The sequence below is a fragment of the Homo sapiens genome, chromosome 6 (genome assembly GCF_000001405.40).
Source record: "Homo sapiens chromosome 6, GRCh38.p14 Primary Assembly".
Taxonomy (NCBI): Eukaryota; Metazoa; Chordata; class Mammalia; order Primates; family Hominidae; genus Homo; species Homo sapiens.
Window position 1 is genome coordinate 49,726,406 of NC_000006.12, and position 23,269 is coordinate 49,749,674.

At 34.3% G+C, this 23,269-nt stretch overlaps 1 protein-coding gene across 3 annotated transcripts; it reads right to left on the minus strand.

Moving 5' to 3' along the window:
* Positions 1–970: 970 nt before the first annotated feature.
* Positions 971–17,983, minus strand: CRISP3 (cysteine rich secretory protein 3). 3 transcript variants are annotated; one of them, NM_006061.4, is made up of 8 exons: positions 17,926–17,983; positions 10,920–10,993; positions 9,986–10,102; positions 9,099–9,186; positions 7,298–7,443; positions 6,790–6,887; positions 4,758–4,846; positions 971–2,452 (listed from the first exon to the last, which is right to left on the minus strand). In NM_006061.4, exons 1-8 carry the CDS (start codon positions 17,960–17,962, stop codon positions 2,325–2,327), a joined length of 777 nt encoding a protein of 258 aa, NP_006052.2. In that variant the 5' UTR covers positions 17,963–17,983; the 3' UTR covers positions 971–2,324. The 3 variants fall into 3 exon arrangements, with proteins under 3 accessions (NP_006052.2, NP_001177915.1, NP_001355052.1); NM_001190986.3 differs by having other exon boundaries at positions 10,920–11,023; NM_001368123.1 differs by having other exon boundaries at positions 10,920–11,047.
* Between the last annotated feature and the right edge of the window lie 5,286 nt (positions 17,984–23,269).

The window sequence follows — 23,269 nt, forward strand, 5'->3', positions numbered from 1 at the left end:
ATTAACATTTCTCCCTCTCAGCCTATCCTCATTATGCTCTATCCTCTTCCCAAGTTTAGTTCATAGCATTTGTCATTTCCTGACATTGTATTAAGTATTTATTTGCAAGAGAGTTTTCTTTCTCTTTCCTCTGCTAGAGTGTGAACTTCATGAAATTTGGAATTTGGTCTGTCTTGCTAATTGTTCTATTTCAAAGTGCCTAATTGAATACTCAACACATAAGTGTCTTCAATAAATATTTGTTGAGCACAGGAATGAATTATTACACACTGTGATGATTACTATAAGAAGAAATATAGGGAGCTCTGAGAGAAAATGGGGGGAGCTTCCCTAGATTATGTGCTCAAAAGAATCTGTTGATGAAATAATGTTTAATGTGAAGTAGCAATTCTAGCAAATAATACAGTGATCACTCTTCCAAACAGAGCAATAGCAAACACAAACACCATAAGGTAAAAATAATCTTGAGGAATTTGAGATAATTTAACGGGCTCATCCTACTGAAACAGAGGAAATGAGGGAGGGTGGAATGAAGTGAGATTGGAGAGGGAAATATAAAAAACATTATTCAGCTTCTTGCAGATCAGTTTAAGATCGTGAATATTATACTAATTACTTCTGAAACCTATTGAAAGGTTTTGAATGGAGACTAATTAGGAAATTTATTGCTTGAGAGATTAAGAGATGCAGCCAAAAATAGCATCTAGGGGCTGCATTGGTGGTCTTGCACCTTCCTGTTTTCCTTTGCCTCATGATTACTTAGATCCTTGAAATTTTTACTGCAGTTTGATACTGGATAAGCATATCGATCTGATATGACAACCCGATCATTGATATTATCTGAAAGGACAAAATCAAACATATAGCACTGGGATAAAGGAGCTGAAGGTTAAAAGTCTAGGAAAGAATAACTAGATAATCTGAAGAAAAGCTTTGATGCATCATGGAGTCAAGAAATAAAATTCTTGTATTTTTTTTCAAGACACTTTTTATTTTGCATTGCTTTCTTAGACTTACCGAAAATTTGGTAAGATAGTACAGAGAATTCCTAGATAGCCCTCACCCAGTTTCAGTTTCTCTAACGTTATCATCTTACATTACCCTGCTATATTTATCAAGATTAAGAAATCAACACTACTGTTAAAAATACTCCAGATTCTATTCAGACTTCATCAGTTTTTTCATTACTGATCTTTTTCTGTTCCAGGATCTGATCCAAGAAGCACATTGCATTTGGCTCACATGTCTCCTTAGTCTCATGTGGTCTGTGATTGTTTCTCAGGATTCCCTTATTTTCCATGATTTTTACAGTTTTGAGGAATACTCTAAAATACCCCAGGGATATTTTGTAGAATGTCCTTCAACTTGAGTTTGCTGGATGTTTTAGCTCATAATTAGATTGGGATTATGAATTTTTAGAAAGATTATCTAGAACAAATCTGAATGACTTATCACTGGTGACGTTAATTTTGATCACTTGGTGAAGACGTCATTTGTCATTTTTCTCCCCTGTAAAGTTACTATGTTTCCCTTTCCATACTCCACTCTTTGGAAGTGAGTCACTGATTTTAGTGAAGACTCACAAGGGAGAGGACTGAGTTCTACCTCCTTGAGTGGAGGGTATTTACCTATATTATCTTGTATTCTTTTTTAAGGAAGTTTTGTCAAAGAGAAGAGAGGTTTAAAAATGAAGGTTTGATCATATTCTACTGTAAAATTTATGCAGATAAAAAATTCAAAGGATTGTATTGATTTTGGCAAAATAAAAGTCAGGATTGTTTTAGGAGGAACAGCTTCAACTCAATTGTGAGGATGCCAGCCAGATGATTGGGAAGAAGGGTGAATGAGTGAAAAGAATTAAGACAGCATATGGGAAAACGTCTTTGAAGATGCTTAGCCTTAGAGTGGAGCTAGGAAAGGCAACTACAGCCAAGGGTTCATGTGAAAATTATATTGTTCTTTTTGTACATTTTGTTCTAGGAACATAATTTTCACTTTCAATCCAGGGTTTTAGTGAACTTAGTCATATGAGAATACAACTTTCAAAATTTTCACCCTAATTAAATTCAGTAAATTTAAATCACAAAGTTTATATATAAAAATCCAAAGTTGTTGTTATAGATTTTGTTTCTTTTTAACCATTTGTATGAAAAATATTTTTGTAAAATAAAAAGCAGATCCAGAAGAAAAACATTTGAAATCAAATGTGTATCAAACATGCCTACAATTTCTCAGCTAGTATATGTTAAATCTAAGTAGATGCCAAATCTAAGTAGATAATCTGACTCCTCTCTACATAGCCCTACTCGGTGTGTAATGCGTATTTAATAAATGCTGTTTGAACAATTGCAGGAGGCCTTGCAACTGTCCCTGACCAACTGATGTTTACAGGTTAATGTGAGCTTCAAACTTTTACAGTTACTATAGAGATCTTCGTACTTGCAACCATTGGCTGGAATAAAAACAAAGAAATTAGTCACTTCATTATCATTTTCTTTCATAACAGCAACACAAACAAAACATTCTATATGAACGGAGAGTAGGGAAGTGAGCAAACAAGTTGAGATTATTACACTAAGATGGCCATTTTATATCTTGAGGGACACATAAGGTCACTTAGGTAAACACGCTGATTCTTTTTTAAATTCGAGCTTTTGGAAATGTTTCTAAGATGAACTGACATATTTTCCTCACTCAACAAGTGAGCAGAGTAAAATTAATTTAAATGAATTTCTCTAGAACTGCAACATCCAAAATGGTAGATATTTGTCATGCGGTTGTTTAAACTTAAATTAATTAAAATTAAATAAAAATAAAATCAAATAAAATTAAAATTTCAGGTCTTTCCTCAACAACACCAGTTATATCAAGTGTTCAGTAGCCATGTGTCTAAGGGCTACTTTATAGGAATATTGAACATCTTCATCACTGTAGAAAGTTATATTGGACACAGTTGTTCTAGACTCTAATGCCCCCAGTCTTTCTCTCAGGTCTAGGTAATTATTATAGGAAGATGTAAATGTATAATGTAAAAGGTGGAGAGAATGTCATTATGATTATTGGACATTTCTACTTGGATGTCCTTCAGTGGCCACAAACTCAATAAATCTCAAACTAAATTCATCATCCTATCTACAAGCTTGACATTTCCTTATTATTTCCCAACAACTGTTCACTTCGTTCACCCAGTTTCAGAGAAATGACACTCCCAACTATTAAACAATTCAAGCCAGGATCCAGGAATCAACTGGAACTTGTTTCTATTTTTTGGTTTTTTTTTGTAATCAATACTCAACAATACCAGGTAACAACCGACTGTTCTATTTTCTTCCTATTTTTCATACCTGTCTATTTTTTCATTCATTTTGCCCTAATGCAGTGAAGATACCCATTTGTTTTTGAGTGTGTGTTTTTCCAACAGTCTCCTAGCTGACTTTCATCCAATTGCTTCTTCCTACTACTGTCGGGAGCTCTTTAGAAAACACAGTTCAGATCTTATCATTCTTCTGTTTAAAATCTTTCAGTTGGCTGATTATTACTAATAAGATAAATTTCAAGCTTCTTAGAAAACAGCATTTGGCAGTGCTGGAAATATTTGGATTTTCCTTCTTTAGTTGATTTATAGCTTTGGTATTATCAGTATTCTGAATTATAGCTACACAATTCAGTCAGAAAAAAAATGTTACAATTCAGTCAGGTGAATGCATTTGAAAGGTAAAAATCTCAATGAATGGGTCAACTGCATTGTCAGTAATAATTTTAGTAACATATCCTAGTTAAACAAAAATATCATCTCTTTGTACTTTTATTTATAAAAGCACAAAATGAAATTGTATGAGATATAAATTTATTTACTCCTTTTTGCTAAAATATTTTTGAGGCTTCTGCAAACTAATACTACATACAGATTTGATTTTGACTTTAAAAATGTATACAAAATTATTAGCAAGCAGAAGTGCAAGTGATTATTATACTAAACTTGATGATTGTAACTACACTATGGCAAAAATGAGGAAGTTAGTATGATAAGTTCATTAGCATATGAGGAATTGCAGTATTTGGAGTCCCTGTCTGGATTGAGCCATATTCTATGGTCTCATACTCTTAGATGTATATTTGTTTTCCTTTTTTAAAATAATGCTGTATTTTGTATAATGATATAAACTTTGATGAGAATAAACTTCCTATTTAATTACAATGTTATTTCCACAGACACATTTTCATATATGCCAATATGTAACATGGATGGTAAGTGTTTCAACAGGTTACATATGATAACAGGCCAAATTTTACATTGCAAATGATACATAGATACTGAACAGTGTAAAATTTTCACTTAAAAATGCTCTGTAAGGCTGGGTGTGATGGCTCACACCTGTAATCCCAGCACTTCGGGTGGCTGAGGTGGGCAGATCGCTTGATGGCCAGAAGTTCGAGACCAGTGTGGCCAACATGGCAAAATCCTGTCTCTACAAAAAGTACAAAAATTAATCAGGTGTGGTGGCACGTGCCTGTAGTCCCAGCTACTCAGGAGGCTGAGGCACAAGAATCACTTGATCCCTGCAAGCGGAGGTTGCAGTGAGCCGAGATGGCACCACTGCACTCCAGCCTGGGCGACAGAGCCAGACAGACTTTTTTTTCCTTTTTGTCCTTTGCATGAAGGCATTGCTTAAGTTGGTTGTCTTCAGATTTCCCAATTCTTAGAAGAAATGTCAGATCATTTTATTTTATTATCAAGTTAATCACTTCAAACTTACTGCATAGTCCATCGTCACAGTTATCTGGGCAACTGGCACAAGGTGCTCCTTGTTCATAAGGGACATATAGTCTATTAGCCCAATTACCACTGAAATTTGAAATAAAAATGTCAAATATTTTTCATTTTTATGTTTCGTTTATGTTCCAAGGTTAGTATCAGTCACCAAATATACATGAGTATTTATTAAATGTTTTTAATTATGTCAAATAATTAAAAATATAATCTCAGAGTATATTCAGACAATAATGCAAATTAAGAGAATAATTCACACATTCATTCACTTTCCTGACCATAATCTTGCAACCTGAGAAACTGAAATAGGATAATTAAAGTCTAAAGTTTTTAAAGTATATTTCAATGTGGCAACACACTTCATCTCCCAACAGACTTCGTCAAATTGCTAAGATGATGTACCACAAGGTGCTGGCAAGGGGTAAAACATATCCCCTAGAGAGATAAGAAAAGTTCCTGAAGCACAGAAGGTTGCAATATGAAAAATAACATTTAATGTTAAATGTAACTTATAATTAAAAATAAAAAAAAACCATAATTTCTACAATATGAGGTAGGGTAAGTACAGTTTCAGCGTAAATTTTGGCTTCTAGGTGGAGTGGTGATTTTCACATGGTTTTTGCTGTATGTTTGTGAAAGGGTATTGGGCTTGGAAAGGTTTGGGAATGTCTACAGGTGGTGTGTATGAGATGTTTATGTTTGCCAAGAATGGGAATGTTAGGGAAAAAAAGATTTAATTAATACTAATCTCCTCTGTGTGTTCATCTTACAGTGACTAGCCTGTACATCATTGATGATTATTTTCCTATCGGTAATTATCATCTGAAAATACAAGAAAGTCAAAGTCTTAATTGCACTAAGTAGGCTAACGGTCCAAGGCTATGTAGCTGAATCTCAGCCTTTCTTCACAGAATATAGCTGTTGGTGTGTGAGCACTTAAGAAAATGTGAAATAGATATCAAAGTGTTCTGGAAGTTCTCTTTTCCCTGTTTTCTCTCATTACTAATTCCAACTCTCACTTCAGATGCTGACTCCAGATGCTCTCCTCTAATGACCAGGCATTTGGAGGCAGTCTCCCAGGGTCTTTCAATTTTCTGTATTAACAATGATAATTCTTTGCTGAAAAATGACCTTACAGGTCATATTTCTCAGACTGGAATCCTACATCACCTGGGATATCTACAGCCTCAAAATAAGCCATGCAGAAAGCTGAGTTTGGGGAAAACCCCTCCCACTAGTGGTGAACAACTTCAAATATTAAAAGGAAATTAAAGCTAATAGATATGTTGTGAATATATCTTCAATATATCCACAGATTTTTTTTCGTGAGTAGGTCAACTATATTGCTTGAGAAAAAAAAGTGGACTTTCTGCAGAAAACCCGAGATAATTAAGAAATTAGGATCTTAATGGAAGGTTCCATGAAATTTTTTTTGTGGTAAATTCTAAGAAGCAAAAATTTAAGACATTATCTTTTCTTGGCTATTTGAAATATATTGGGGATCTCTTAAAAGTCTTTGAGGTCCAAGATTTAATCATTTCTTAATGTATAATGTGAAATTTTCTGATAAGCAGGAGTAAGAGCATTTGAGCAGAAAGGACTGATATTGCTAAAATGGGTCATTCCTTATTTGTTTGTTACCTTACTTTATCCCTGGACTAATTATCAAGCTTCCAGTTTCTCGTGTGTAAACTTAGCATGAACTGATAAAATTATATTTAGATAACTACACACTACATGTACTTATGAAGTAACCGTGAGCATAGCAAAAGGCAATTGAGAGAGGAGACAAATTATTTTAGGCATGAGGAAAGACAGCTCCCTGTTCAATAATACTTGGAACTGGAACTGAAAACTTTATCTTTCTGAGAAGTTGGTTGAATGTGTCTCAACTTTAGAAAACATTTCTAAAGATTAATCTCCTTCACCTTTACTTAAATATGCTTTTTAGTTTTTTTTTATTAAATGTTAAATTGTATTTAGCATTATTGACAATAAACGCTAAAATATATACTTACGCAGGACAATATTGGCAAACATAGTAGTATTTTAGAACTTTTTGATTGGGACAGTAGGCATTTCCACATCCAACGAGGTATGAAGAGTACCAAACAACCTATAAACCAATAAGTGAAGATATGAGAGCACATTAGAGAAGAAGGAAATACCAAAAAACAAATAGTAGGAAATACAAAATGGAGAAGAATGTTACCGACATATTTTGTTTTCATATACCTTATGGCTATATTTAGTTAAATTATTGAATCAAACTAAAACACTTTAAAATATTACATTTCCATGTACATTCCTTTTTGAGACCGTTGGACAAAGATTATGCTTCCCTACCATGATCCTGCAGTCTACTGAAAAATGACAGTTCACAGCTGAAATACTCACCAAATGCCAGACTATTCTATATTCACTTGAAATTTTCCCCAAATTCAACTTGGAATCAGTCAAAATTTGAAGAATCCTTTTTTTTTAGGGCACTTATAAAGGAGATGGTTTTTCATTTCTTCTCCTTACCTGTGTATAATGTCCAACCACTGCGTTGGGAGTCTTTGGCCCTACACCAAAGTCAAAATCATTGTACTCATCAAACCAGCTTTGGATTGCTTGTGACCATGAGCTGGAGGCACTTGACATGTAGAGATTCTCACCACATTTTAGACCTAAGAAGGAACAGACCACTCATGAGGAAAGCAATAAAGCATGCAATGGCAAAATACACACAAACACACACACACTACACACAGCAGAATCCCTGTTTTTTAAATACAGTCCCCAGTACCCACCGTTAATGAATATTGACTAATACATAAGGAGGGTGCCTCAGATCCTTATCAGCTATAAGCTGAATAGAAGCCAGATTTGCCCAATACTTGAGGCTGGTCTCAACATGCAAAACTTTGAGTAGATGGAGAAGCCTTTTTTCTTTAATGTCTGCTCTCCCTGGATTCATTTATTTACACATTGAATTCTTCACATGTGTGTGCCTTATGAGCTTTCAGCTTTGTAATGTGAGCTTGCTGAAGACAGAGATCAACTTAGTAATTCCTCTCCTGCTCTAGCCCATACTCACCAGAGATTTTCATATATAGGAATCTGAATAAGTGGTTAGAATTATTATTTTGTGTGAATTTTTTAAAAAGTCTTATGCTCAGTCTTTAAGAGCCCTAAACATGAAGCAAATGACACCATAAAAGACAATATTTTCACAGGTTACAGGCCTCCTCTTAGCAAATCAGAACATCACAGGCCACACTCTGGTCAAAAAATAAGGAAAAAAGTGCCTTGCAGCCCAGAAATACTTCAACACTTTTTCAAGCCCTAAAATTAATATTTATATTTGGATGGCTTAACAAGGAATGTCTACATGCTACTTAAAGAGAGTATAAACTACCTTTGTATAGCTCCTTTGAGAGGGAAAGAAAGAAGCTAAGATTTTAACAATAGATTGGGATTTTCAAGACCATTTCTTTCAATCTTCTCGTGACCATAGTTACCCCCTTTCATAAATTTATTATAGTTTTATATCAAAAATATAGATAACAGTGGCTGTCCTATTTTCAAAACAAGCCAGTTATTTACCACTTGTAAATTTGGTTTGCCTTTACCTATGTTATTTTTGATAATTTAATAAGTATTTTATCTGATAGCTCATCCATATGATATTTTATCTAATTGTTTTTATATTTATTGATGTATAGGTTATGTCTTGCAGGTCATTTTTTTAGTTTAATATAGTATGCATTGTAAACATCCAGAAAATATAAAAGACATGGCTTACTGTCATCAAAAATTCAAAAGAAAATAATAAAAGTTAATGCTAATGTTAAATACGTTTTTCATAAAATTCAGGAACAGTTTGACAAAATTTAAAATATTTTATAGAAAAAAAATTAAGTAGGTTTCAAAACACAAATAGGCTGCATATTGTCACTAAAAAGGGTACTGATTTAGAAGCCAGAAATTCTAATTCCAAATTTCCTATATATGACATTAATTGCCAATCATCATTTTCTTCCAGGCTGTTGATTTTCTAATCTCTGTAATTGGGAAAGAGATGATCTGTAACCTGCTTTACTCCTGAGCTGATTGAGAGGTAAAAATATGATACTGTGTGAGACGGTTTTTGTAAAATTTATTTAAAACAGTAAGCACAGATGGTGCTTCTCAGAGTTATCTCTACATGTAGATAGTCCATATTGAAAAAGGTAGCATTAGAAGCAATATTTATTTACAAACTTTTCTTAATGCAACATCATAACATGGTTTATTATTTTACTTGTTGATTTATTCAACAAATATTTCCTAATTTACATACTTGTCATTCGATCCTTTGGGTTACTGTGTCTGTAATTGCACTGGTTTGCCCACTTTTGGGCATTTGCTGCAGCCTCTTTGTTCCATTCCTGAAACAAGGACAGAAAAAAGATATCCACTTAATGTCTCAAACCTCAAAGGAGCATAAGCTTTATAATCAGGTTATAGGTTGATTTACATCATCATAAAATTTCTGTACAAGCATCTTCTGATTTTTATAGTAATCAAATGTATATATTTTTTATGTGCTTTTATCTGCTCCACAAAGAAATATAGGTAATATGCCTACCCTAAGTAATCAAAAAATCTAGGTTTATGGTCCAATTATTTATCACAGGACATCAGAAACACCTAAAGATTTTTTGTAATGGTCCTGTTCTAAATATTGATAAACATGTGGAGGTGCTGAGATTGCTTTTCCAACAATGAAGTAATTAGCTGGCTTACTTCATTTCCAGTTCTTTTTTTCTTTTTTTCCCCCTCACTGAATATGTTCGGGAGACATGTGGCCTTTGGTACAGGGCCCAGAAAAGTAGATTGTTATTTACCCTACATGGCATTTATCTTAAAAGGAAAAGGTCTTTCTGATCTCAGATTAGGACAGATAAGATAAGGAGCAGAAAAACATAATGGCTTTTCACCGTATGTCCAAAGATTAGGTTTTAATTCTGCCTCCATAATTTAAATAGCCCTATGAATTTGACGTTATGCAACCATTATAAAGAGAAGTTAAGAAATTCAGCTCTGCCCATTACACAGCTCAAATGAAACAAAAAAATACAGAGAGAACTTTGTAAACTTCAAAGTTATTAAGAGATATTAGTTGCCAGCCGCCTACTCCTTCCACAGCTTGTTCACACCCCTCTCCTTTGCAATATCACCTCTTACCATCTTCAGCATGTTTCTGGCAGGGGGAGATACTGCTCTCCTCAGTTCATTGTGCTTATTCACAATCTCCCTTTGCACTTGTGTTTGGGTGGTTAACAAAGCAGTAAAAGCGGGATCCTAAGGGAAAATAAAATTACAATTATCTTTTAACATTGTTGGAAATTGCACATAATAGTAACTATGTTAGTTCAAGGGAACAAAGACCATTTTTAAAAAGTGTTGCCAATGCTAGGTAAACATTGTCAATGACTGCCAAAGCTATGACTTTTTAATGGAAAAGTATTAGATGAAAGTTTTCAGAATGGGGATATAATTCATGGCATGACAAACTAAAATCTCCTCTGAGGCCACAAATACCAATTTCTGGGTTAAGAGAGGTCTTAATGTGATTTTTCTAAATATATGAGTGATAACATCTTATAGTGACAAGGGTACATGATAGTAATTATTAAGACATTCACACTCAGGCTGCAGCAAAGAAGTTGTAAAGATTGAGGCATATGATTTACCCTAAGACTCTAGGGGGAATTTCTGCCTGAAATGGTGTCTGGTATTTAGAAAAAATGCTTAGGCTCAGCCTAAGTGCATGTGTAACATGCAATACTCTAGTAAAAGAGTTTTATGTATTACGTAGCAAATATTATGGGATCACTCAAAAGATAGTTTTACCACATTAAAAAAAATCTCCAAGGCAATTTGCGGGGTGGAGCAAAGTCATTTAATTAATGAACTTCAATACCCTCATGTGGCTAGGGGCTACCATATTGATCACCACAGCTTTAAACATAATTATGTTAACTACCTTGAGCTACTAATGAGTACTTTATGATGTACCAGACACTCTAGACCTTTTCACTTTTGAAGATTGATCTAGTAGCTTGCCATCCCTCATGGTTGCCTGAATTTTTCTGAAGATTTTTGACTTCAACCATACCTTATCTTCATTTGCTGGAAAAGATGGAAGCAGCCCAGCAACCAGGAACAACAGCACTGGGAATAATGTCATTGCTGGGAAAACAAAACCGGTGGAACAGGGATCTGCATTAAAATGATTGGTACATGCTGTTGAGTAACATGGGGGTGGGAGAAACGTAATGACCTCCATTATCCCAAATTCATTATTAATGTAACAGGAGAAGACTTGTCACATGGAGCCAGCAGAATGACAGTGGATTCAGCTTTCAAAGTATGCATTCAACTGGGACTATAAAGAACAAACCAAAATTCCCGACTGAAGCCCTTGAAGCATGCCTATAAATGCTAAGGACTTTCTACCTCCTTCTTCCGCAGCTCCGCAGTCTTCTCTGTGTAACTACTGTCTTTAGGTTGTAGGAGTGGATTCTTCACAATAACAATTCAGTAGCTTCCAACTGTGTTTATTACTGGGATACTACTGCATTAGCCCTTGCTGATTTCCTTAAGTGCTGTCTACACTTTTATAAATATAACCTTATTAACATTTCTTCAAATTAAAAGTTAGCATGTGCCAGTTCTTTTCCGTCAGGGATCTGGCTCATATACTTGCCATTCTTCAAACCCTAGAAAGTCCTCTACGTATATGCTTTTTATGCATACCTTTAAACTACTCTCTTCAAGTTTACCCATGCAGCCAGCATCCTAACTCCTTTCCTCTCAAAACTTTCTTTAATACCATGCCTCAAATTTAAAAAGGCAACATTTTTTTCCTCTGGATCTTAAAACAAAAAGGTAATAATTTGATTCTCATGTTTAAGGGATTACTCACCCTATCTGTATTAATATCCTTAATATGTTCACATTCTTTATCTCACTAATTCAACTTCTTAGAATTCTACTGAAATTATAAACTATACTAAAAAGTTTTAAGCATAAAATTTTCATCATGTTATCATTTATAAGGGTTAAAACATTGTAAATTAATTACATGCCTAGCAATAGGGAGATATAATGTCTAAGTAAATGAGAATACATCCTCTTATGGCAGTATATTAGACATAAAAACCACTATACATTTATGGTTGTTTTGTAACCTCAGAGAAGAAGCTTATGCTTCAGTGTTAAGTTTAAAAACAAGAAAGCAGAACAAATAGTATATGGTAGATCCTTAGCCTTCTGATTTGGACTGAACGTTAATAGAAGTAGTGACTCATCCTACAAAAGCTCTTCCTTCTTAGTTATTCACTGGTTCCTCCTGAACCTCAGCTCTGGGGGCTGGGACTGGGTCTCCCTTAGACTATGAACTTAGCTAACACCAAATCCCCACAGAACTCCCAGAGGAAGAGCTTTCCACCCCAGACTGGTTCCCAGCACTAAATTCAGCTTTCCTTCTCCTAACCAGCACCTCTGCACCCCACCACCCCGCCCACTGTGAATCTAAGTATTGGGATGCAGCCTGATATACACTTGCAAAACCCATTTTCATGCTATTAAAGTCAATGTCACAAACCATCTCGTCCCAGCATCGCCCCACAATCACCCCGCAAATATGGGACTTTGCTGGTATCCATTTGTATCACTTTTTCAAAGATATTTCCAATGGAAGAACAAGAAAATGGGAGCAGGGGAGATATACTTTTGATAACAAGTGTGGTTTTATTTTGTCCAATGCATTAATAAATACACTTGAAGTCTGAAAAAAAAAAAGAATCCACGAAAAATGATGTTGCCAGAATGCAGATCTGGAGCTCCAGAAGATTTCAAACTACTAGTGTTATAGACCTTGAAACTCACTCAGAAATAACTTAACCTGGCCCTGCTTCCACTTCTAAATCAATATGTTGATGCCCTAACTCCTAGTGTGCTGTATTTAGAGATGGGCCCTCTAGTGCGTCTCCTGCAGAATTTGAGAGCAAAAGAGGAAAAACAGATTCTTATTTTCATTTGTAAGTCAAAGACAATTAGGTATTCTTCTTTCCTTTAGGAGACATTTATCAAGTTTTGTACACTCTATTCAGGATAACATGTTATAATATTGCTGCACATGATCAAGTGAACAAGACTTGGTTCTTGCCCTCAGAGTCCTGGTATATAATTACGGGAGCTCATCATTCAAGTACCCAGAGGGGGAGCTGGTTGAATTTTCTCATGTGTGCAAAAGAGGAGAGTAAAATTTTATTTCCTTTTACAGTGATCCATTCCAATGCTTTATGGAGAGAGATGGGGAAGAATCTAGCACAATTCAGGGCTCAGGGAGTAAACAACTTGAATGAGATAAATATGATAAAGATGTAACATCAGCTTTAAGACCAATAATGGTGACAGAGAGTCGCTGTAATATTTCACTCCATCCCCACCTCTCCTCCCAAGGGACTACTGTAAATAGCAGGTGCAAGTGGAAAATGATTTGTTTGCAATTCCATTTAGTAGTAGCGTCACATAGAAGGTACTAGAAAGAATGAAAAAAAAATAGCCTCTCCTGTCATTCACTTCCATGAAGCAATTTCTAAGTGTATTAGTTATACATTATTTTCTACTATTCCTTGGAAATAAGCAGTAGATTTCTCTTAATTCATTTCACTTGAAAGAGTTATTTTGCTATGTGTAAGTCACTGAGTCCTACCTTTTATATGGTTTTCTGTTCTGTTCTGGTTTTCCTTTTTCAAAGAAATTAATAATTTATCTCAAGTGTGATTAGAGAAAAACCAAGTCCCTGGATTTCAAAGATTTATGATTTCAAATAGTGATGGTTTGCTACTAATTCCAGATCTACAGCAGAGCAAATTGTGTCTTTCTGAAGCATAAATGTATATAATACAATTAAACTGTAACATACTGTGCCTTCTTCACACTGATGTTAGGACCACTGGTATGTTTGAAACACTCCCTTGGAAAAGGAAATCATTTTATCAAATGACCTGATATCACTGCATATTGACTGACAACATATATCTACAAAAACTTCTATAGGCATATCTGGCTTTAACAGTCCATTTTGTGGAAATAAGGATTTGCAAATTAGGAAGTAGGACAAATTTGCTTAGTGCTAAGAGAAGAATTAATCAAATGGTCTATTTATAAAGCAAGCCTTTGGCTTTTATTTCAGGCACAATATCAAAATAAGCAAGCTTCTTGCTGCCACCCCAAAATTAACTCTGAAAAAATTATAGAAGCAAGAGGGAAACAGGGATTCCAAGAAAATACTGAAAAGATAGTGAGAAAATCTGAGGAGAATAAAGTCTCTCATGACTTCTAGAATGTGTATATGGATGTGTGTGTGTGTGTGTGTGTGTGTGTGTGTGTGTGTGTTGTGTATAGTGAATGTGAAGGAGAGGGGAGTGCTGCATCCAACAGCAGTGGTTGGTCTAAAGTAATGCCTGTTAGTTTCTACTCTTGCCTCAAAACAATCGATTCCTCTTTATTTGCAAAATTCTGCAACAACAGAAAAACGCTTGCTCTAGTGCTATGTGTCAGCAAAGTAGCATCGAAGAACTGTAAGACCCATCCTGTGTGGGGCTGGATGCGGTGGCTAATGCCTGTAATCCCAGGACTTTGGGAGGCCGAGGTGAGCAGATCACGAGGTCAAGAGATCGAGACCATCCTGGCTAGCACGGTGAAACCCCATCTCTACTAAAAATACAAAAAATTAGCCGGGCATGGTGGCGAGAGCCTGTAGTCCCAGCTACTCGGGAGGCTGAGGCAGGAGAATGGCGTGAACTCGGGAGGCAGAGCTTGCAGTGAGCCGAGATCGCGCCACTGCCCTGGGCGACAGAGCGAGACTCCGTCTCAAAAAAAACAAAAAACAAAAAACAAACAAACAAAAAAAACAAACAAAAAAAAACCACCAAAAAAAAAAAAACAAAAAACGAAAGTACCATCCTGTGTGAAGAACCAATGATAATAAGGTCATGTGTGATAGCACTCTCCAGTGCTCTTATACTCACGCCTTCTTACTCCCTAGTGTTGTATGGTTCAAATTAGCTTGACTACTTCCTCCCAATGCTGTTTTTTCCTGAAATGTAATCTGAGGAGTGGATATAATTCCGGGATTGACTCATAAAAGACGTAAGAATAATAGTAAATAATACATAAGCCCACTTCATAAATGAATTGCAAGAATCCTAACAAAATATTAACTCATCAATTTCAAAAATATATTAAAAATATCATGACCAAGTAAAATTATATGAGGACTGCAAGAATAATTCAAAATTAGAAAATTCATTGGTAAAATTCATCACATTAACAGACTAAAGCAAAGTAATATGACAAAAAATACGTCATTAAATTCAACCCCTGTATGTAGTTTTTTTTTTTTTTTTTTTTTTTAAAGAAAAAATAGAAGAGATCATTACTTTGGTAGGAAGCATATACTGCAAATCTATACCCAATATAATGGTTATTGGAGAAATTCTAGGTGCATTTCATTTAATATTGGGAACAAGAAAAGAATGACTAACACTTTTATTTAACACAGTACTGGAGAGATCCTAATCAAAGCCATAAGAAAAGAAAGTATATACATATATATATATATAATATATACAAGTAATGTAATGTATACATTTTATGTTATATATAATAATATAAAATATATTATTATATATAAAATATTTGTAACTTTTGTAAGAGAAGACGTAAAATTGTTATTGTTTTCAAATGATAAGATCATCTATCTGGAGAACACACCAAAATTAACAATTTTGCTAGATGCACTATCAACTTACAAAAATACCATTTCTATTACTGGAAACACTCAACTAGAATATAAGATTTAAGAAACACTTATAACAGTTAAAAAAACTATACAGTATCTGGGAAACAACAAAACAAATTTAAAAATCCTTTTTGGAAAAAATCTTAAAACTTTAATAAAGAACATAGCAGAAGTTCTGAATAAATTGAGAGTTTTGTAATGCTTTTAAATGGTACATGTTAGCATAAAGATATCAATCCTAAACTAACCTGATAATTGTTTACTTTAATTCCAATACAAATTTTAAGTGGCTTATGAATAACTGAGTAAACTTTTAAAAGAAGAATTGCTTGGGCGCAGTGGCTCATGCCTGTAATCCTAGCACTTTGGGAGGCCAAGGAGGGTGGGTTGCCTGAGCTCAGGAGTTTGAGACCACCCTGCGTAACATGGTGAAACCTCGTCTCTACTAAAACTACAAAAGTTAGCCGGGCATGGTGGTGCATGTCTGTAATCCCAGCTACTGGGGAGGCTGAGGCAGGAGAATTGCTTGAAACTAGGAGGTGGAGGTTGCAGCGAGCCGAGAGTGTGCCACTGCACTCCAGCCTGGGCGACAGAGCAAGACTCCATCTCAAAAAAAAAAAAAAAAAAAAGGAAGAAGAAAAGAAAAAGAAAAAAAAGAAAGAATTAATTGGGTTATCTTTTCATATTAGTTATTAAGATAGACTTCAAACATTTGTTGACAAAAATTTAATATTATTGTAGGAACAGATAAATCAACTGGTGGAGGAAAATACAAAACTTAAGAGACAGACCAAACATCGTAACATTAAAAAGCAAAGGAGGAAGAACAGACTATAGAAATATTTTAAAGGATTACGTGGATTAGAAAAGATGTCAAAAGCATTAACACATGTGAGTATAATGTGTGCACTATAGGTATAGACACATTTATAAACTAGTCACAGCACAGAAAAGTATTTGATGCAATATTTTCTTACTTAAAATTTAATAGTTAATCTTTATTCTGATCACTTTCTTTCATCTTATTATGTATCTGTGATACAGAAAGCAGCCTATGCCAATATGCAAAGTTTGCAAAACTGCTAGACTTCATCAAGTAAGAAATTCGTAAAGATATCCAAATAAGAATAGCTGTCTTGCATTTCTTGAGAAGCACTTTTTTTTCAAGGATGAATTCCCTCCCTTTTACTTGAATTCAATAAATAACGTAACTGAAATTCATAGCAATTATCAGATTTACATTACTTGAGAATTCTGACACTCTTCCTCCCAATTCATCCCTGCCTGTTACAAATCAGAAGCCCCAATTTACCTCATAACTTATCAATGTAGGGTAACTCCCAGGCTTGAAACTTGTCATCAATTTAATTTCTTTTGATCCACTTTCAGAGGTCTTAGTCATACAGGCAGACATTCTAGATTTGGTTTTAACTAGCAGAAGAGGCAACACCGGATCTTCTATGGCTATTGCAAATACTCCCAGAGTTTCCTGGATAGCATTTAGCCACAGGGAAGAAAAGCATTTTACTTTAAAATCTTCTGTCTAGTGGTAAATAACCCCTTTCATGTTGTCATTAGGTAGTTCTGTGGTCTCCTACTATCTGACTCTTCAGAATCACTTCTAATATGCTACGGAAGATAAAGCCGTATGTGGAAATTGCTTCCTTAGATGAAATATGCACGATAGATATTATATTTAAATTACCTACATAAACATGACTGAGTAGACTGACTTTTGACTGAAAAACTTCTAAAAGCCTTTTTTTTTTGTTTTTGATCTGAGTGCATTTCATGAGGTAAATTGCATTTTATGTTGATGGTCTTTAATAAAATACTTTTTAATCTTGAGATCAGTGCTATAATTTTGTTTTGACCAATTTAAAACTTTTGCTATGGCATCCCATATAGCTGTATGTTTTAATATTAGTAAAAGTTACTGATGTGAAAGTATGCACACACATATATTCATAGTTTTTCATTTTTCTATTAAAAATAGTTCTAGTACAATTGTTTCCACAAGTCATAGACATGGGAATTAGTTATATTACTTTAGAATGAAAGGTAAAAATTTATTTAAATTTCAAACTGGATAAAAGTGCTTTTGGAATAATAAAGCTGTCTATGTATTAGCTTCTCAGCTTAAAATGAATATATTAAGATAATTACTCTCATTAAAAGTTATCAATAAACTTTGGAAAATTGTAGATAAAATATACGAATATATCACTTTATCATTGATAAGGTATAAATGTGTTGTTCACCTTGAAATAAATAATGTTCACCTTGAAATAAAGGAGTTATCACTTACCAGTGGTTTCCAGAGCAGGATGAAGTATTTGTTTCATCTATTGACAGAAGGAAGGTGCAGAGAGAGAAGGTTAGAGCCGTATATATGAAACACCTATTTCCTGTTTTGGCAAATTCTGGTTGTGCAAGTAACTCTAGATCAACAAGGCCTGAAACAGGATTTGTCATACCAGTAGTCTCAAATTTCATTGCTGGTTTTCTAGTCATGATTTTGAAATTATTTGGTGATTCCTCAAATGGCTTTTAAAAATAAATTGCTATATCAAGTTTTGTAATTGTGCATTTATTCTTTGAAGTTCATATATTACAATTTATCCATGTTTTTGCCAGTCAATAGTTTGAAAATTCTTAGCCCAATTATTAGCATCACAACATTAGAGTTTTCAGAATTATTTCTGTTGGATTGAAATTAAGCTCATAATTTTTATGAACTCTAGAGAACACAATGTTTTTTACAGCTATCTAAAATGTTTATTAATAATCTATTGGACATTACTGTTTTGGATAATAATTTTATCTTTAATGTTTGTAAATACAAGGCCACAGTGACTTTCAGAACTCAATGGCCAAACACACCATAACTCATTGGTATTTCTATATTCAAAGATGTGCTGTATTTACTTGTATTTTCTGGTTGTATAAAATTAAAGATAATATTGATCTCCAAGCTAAATTATCATTATTTGGTTCTGTTCATCTATGGAAGATGTCAATCATTCCAGGCTTGTTTCCATAGCACAATAATGAAGTGGGGTGGACTAACAATTTCAGATTTCCTCTGATTCTAAAATACAATAATCTTAAATATTGAGTTTATATAAATAAAGAAGTATAAATTAATAAATCACAAGTAGCATATACATAGCACGCAGACATTTCTGCATGCTCATATTGGCATATAGATTGCACCTTGTGGTGCATAATTCAATAGTTTCTGTTCATTTTCATTTTTATATTTAGCTTTATTGATCAATGTGACAAAATGTATAATCACAGATCAATGTCTACACAATAGGCACATTTTAAAATTATAGTTAATTTTGAGTTCAAGAATTGGATACTTCTAAATGTCTGTTATAAGAGAGTTGAGAACTCAGAAACTCAGGTCAGATTTTACCATTAAAAAATGGTTAACCATTTGCTGCCATGTCTCCAAGTAACTCCTAGAATCTGTTTACTTTATGAACATGTGAAGTGGAAGCTCTCAATAAACCAAATCAGCTATGTGGAAAAAATCACCATGGAACAACCTTCTACACAATCCTCTTTCTGTGGCAAAATGTATTTTGTGGGGAAGGACCAGACCCAGAAGCATCCACAGCCCATTCTCTTCTCTACTTAGTGGTGTAGAATGTTGTTAAAAGCTTGATATTTCTGTTTTAATGGAAATGGGCTAAATTTCTATACCAATGTGTATTGGGAAATTTTTATATTTTATTATTTTATTTTATATCATATTTTATTTTATTTGAAGCAGGATCTCACTCTATCATCCAAACTGGAGTGCAGTGGTTAGATCAGAACTCATTGTAGCCTTGAATTTCTGGGCTCAAGGGATCTCCTATTTCAGCTTCCCAAGGAGCTGAGACCATGGTGTGCACTACTATACACAGCTAATTTTTTAAATTTTTTTGTAGAGACAGAGTCTTGCTATGTTGCCCAGCTAGTGTCGAATTTCTGGCTTCAAGCAATCCTCCTGTCTTGGCCTCCCAAAGTTCTGGACTTACAGGCATGAGCCACAGCACCTACTTTATTAGGAAATTATTATTCTGATTGTAAATTTTCATATTTATCATAAATGGGAATAATATTAATTGTATTTAATTGTGATACATAATATATGTAAGCTGCCTGCCATGTAGTAAGTATTTCCAGTGTTAATTCTCTCCCACTTTATGCACTTTTCTTCTGTATCTAGACAAACCTACCCCTAATATTTGTAAGCTGTGGGATTGCACTTGAGTTTTAGGACATGGTTTGACTTACTAAGCTATAGGCAGTTCTGTGAGAAATTACCATAAGTAGACACAAAACAGTATAAAAAGGAAAAATATTTTTGCCTCATTATTCAAACTTGATAGTTTTTCTCTAACTTTTTACTGAGTTATGACTAAATGACCACTAGATGCACCATGATGTAGAAGGCATTTTGCTTGTCAAATATTGGTACATTTATTATTAAGCTAAATAAGTATATGTGGTCTTTTTGGGTCACAAAATACCATACACACGTTGGACTGACAGACTGACTTCAATCTGACCTTAAGTGTCCAAAATGGCTGTTTCTAGTCACCTTTGTTCTCTCATTTCCCATGATTAGGTTGTCTTTTCTGTATTTACGTGTCCCAAGGTCATTGCTGGCCCTTCATGATCCATGTCTCCCAATTTTAGCAGTGAGTGTCTTCCAGCTCTTATTTGGATATCTAAGTTCCATCTTAAAAGAGCAAATAGTTTGTTCCTGTATATACATTTTAATCTATTCCCACTATTCTATTGAAACTTATCAATGAGTCTCTTAGCGACTGTTGCTATTAATCATTACATTTTGTTTTAGGAATGCTCCTTTTCTTACTCTTTAAAATTATTCTTCTATTCCTATGCTTTGACTAGTACAGTGTAACCAGATTGTCTATAATATGAATAAATAAAGCACAGCTTCCATCTCTTCCTAGTCAGCCCTTCTCTCATCTTAGATACAACAACATCTGAATGCTGCCTTCCTGGGATTTCTACACTGACCACCCAAAACTGACTAGTTATTACAAGGGCAACTGGGATCCCTGCCTTACAGCTGAACTCTTGACCCAGCTTTTTATGACTTTTACTTCCCCATTATTACCAACTACCTATAGTTTACTGATTACAGTCTTTGGAAATTGCCAGGTCTGAGAAATCCTTTCTGAGCTTCAGTTTTCTCTTCTCTGAAATGTGAATTTTCATATCATACGTTGGTTTTAATGACTGAAAAGCATAATTTGTGTATAAAAATGTACTGAATACATAATTAAACTATTAGTGCGATGCTTGGCATGTGACACTCAATAAATGGAATTATTAACATTTGTATTATTATCCCTTCCAAAGCCTGGTATTTCCTGAGTACATAAAAGTCTTCCACGAATGCATTTTGTTTGATTGAACTGCCAATTCAGGAGTCTTTATAAGAAGTCTTTCTTGTTTTAGGTATTTAGGAAACAATCATAGTTTAACCAGAAATTCAAGTGTTTAAGGTGCAGTTCTATCAAAGCCTGTCAGGGTGACTTTAACAAAATGATTGAGCATCTCTCATTTTCTGTATCCTCACCAATAAATTAAGGAGCACAGACTCAGGTGCATTTTAGAATTAGAATTAATTTTACTCTGCTCTCATTAATAAATAGTAGATTTATAAATCAGTTGTTGTTTTGTTGAATTATCCTTTAATATAATGGTTTAATTTAGTGACTTATTAATTTCCAAGAAAGGTATAGTCTGTGTGTCAATTTATTTGCATTTTTCTCTTGCTTCCTCAGTCCCTTTGGTTAATATCCTGATTACTTTTTGTCACTCAATGCCTAATTATATGAGTGAAATATCAGAATTATAAATTATTTATGTGTTTCACCATTCAGTGTATTATTTATTACACACACACAAACACACATGCACACACCCATATAAGATCACACGATCTTAGGTCAGGTTTGCAAGAAATACACTGAGACACAAATTACATTGGCTCTGATTTATTGAGGAAGTACATTGCAGCAGAAAGGAAAAGAGTGAAGCAGGTCAGGGGAGGACAAAGAGCTAAAGAAGAATGTGTTCTCAGGTAAAATCTAGTCTTCCCTGATTAATAGAGGCAGTGCTGCAGACAGCCTTTTTAAACCTATGAACAGTCAGTCATTAGTAACAGTGGGGAGATGACAAGGTGGTTCTCCTCTGCCAAAGGCAATTCTCTTGAGAGGGGGCAGATGTGGGCACAGTAGCTAATTCTCACAACATCTGGGGGACAGAAGCATTGCCTCTGGGATGGGATCTCTGTGCAATACCTAAACAGCATCCACCATAATATGGGATAATATTTGCATTATTACAATAGTTGCATATTATAAAGATGATGTAAAAAACAGTGAAGGTGCTTATCATGATCACATGATTCATTTATCTCATTTTAAAAGTGAAGGAGCAGACAAAATAACTTAAAAAGTCCTTCCATATTTAAAATTATGTATGTCTCTGTTTAAGGAAAAGGGAAAACAAGGCTCTGTCTTGCTTCTTTCACTAATTGGATGTATTTGTTTGCTAAGTCCTTGACTCTTGCTAGTCTTGGTTTTAATCCAATTCTGTTTTCTTGCCTGTAAAATAGAGACAAAAATAATACCTAGTGTTGTGAGGATCAAAATGTTGGTGTGTAGAAAACATTTTTTGACTGTACTAACCTGAGTGCTAAGAGAACTGAAAAATTCTGTCCCTGAGTTACTGAAGCAGTAAGACTAGCATGTGAAAAAAAAAAACTGTAGAAAAACATATGAATCCACGTGATTGGTGATAATATCTGTATTGCCCATTGTAATGGCTGTAAGAATTCAAGTAGAGGAATACACTTTATGGGTAAATAAAAGATGTTTATATACCAAAAATTGGAGATGAGTTGGTATTAATGGATGAACAAACTTTGGGCCCGAATGAAGTTAACAAATCCAACTTTGATTTTTTTCAATGTACATATTTATTTTTAAAATTGACATACAAAATCGTATGTATTTATAATGAACAACATGTCTTGTAGTAGAGTAAGTCCTCATACATCACAAATAGGTCCTGGAAAATGATGCATAAAAACAGCATTTTTTTCTCATTGACATTATAATGATATGATGTTGAAAAAAACGATGTTATTAAAAGATGTGCTGTATGTTGTTTCACTTGAAGTCGCAGTTTCCAAAAATGTATTGACTGTGTTAAATGAGGACTTACTGTATAAATACATTGTGGAATGGTTAAATCTAGATAACTAACAAATGCGTTACTTTTCTTAGTTTTTATTTTTGTGGTGAGAACACTTAACATCCACTCTTCTAGCATCTTTTCAAGAATATAATATTTGCCATTAACTGTAATTGCTACGCTGTAAAATAGATCTCTTGAACTTACTCCCCTCCAAACTGTACATGTGTGTTCTTTAACCAACATCTCAACATGCCTTCTTACGTCCCACCCATAAGCTCTAATGCCCAGCATTCTACTGTTTTCTTGACATGAAGTTTTTTAGATTCCACATATGAGTTAGATCATACAGCATTTGTCCTTTGTGTCTAGCTTATTTCACTTAACATAATATCCTCCAGATTCACTCATGTTGT

What these genes read in the sequence shown, in the direction of transcription:
- CRISP3 (NM_001368123.1), bottom strand. Translation starts at nt 17,962, where the DNA reads ATGAAACAAATACTTCATCCTGCTCTGGAAACCACTG. An exon ending in TCCTGCTCTGGAAACCACTG is followed by an intron (nt 11,048 to 17,925) that starts GTAAGTGATAAC and finishes GTTACTCAACAG; the next exon opens with CATGTACCAATCATTTTAAT. An exon ending in CCAGAAACATGCTGAAGATG is followed by an intron (nt 9,187 to 9,985) that starts GTAAGAGGTGAT and finishes TCCTTGTTTCAG; the next exon opens with GAATGGAACAAAGAGGCTGC.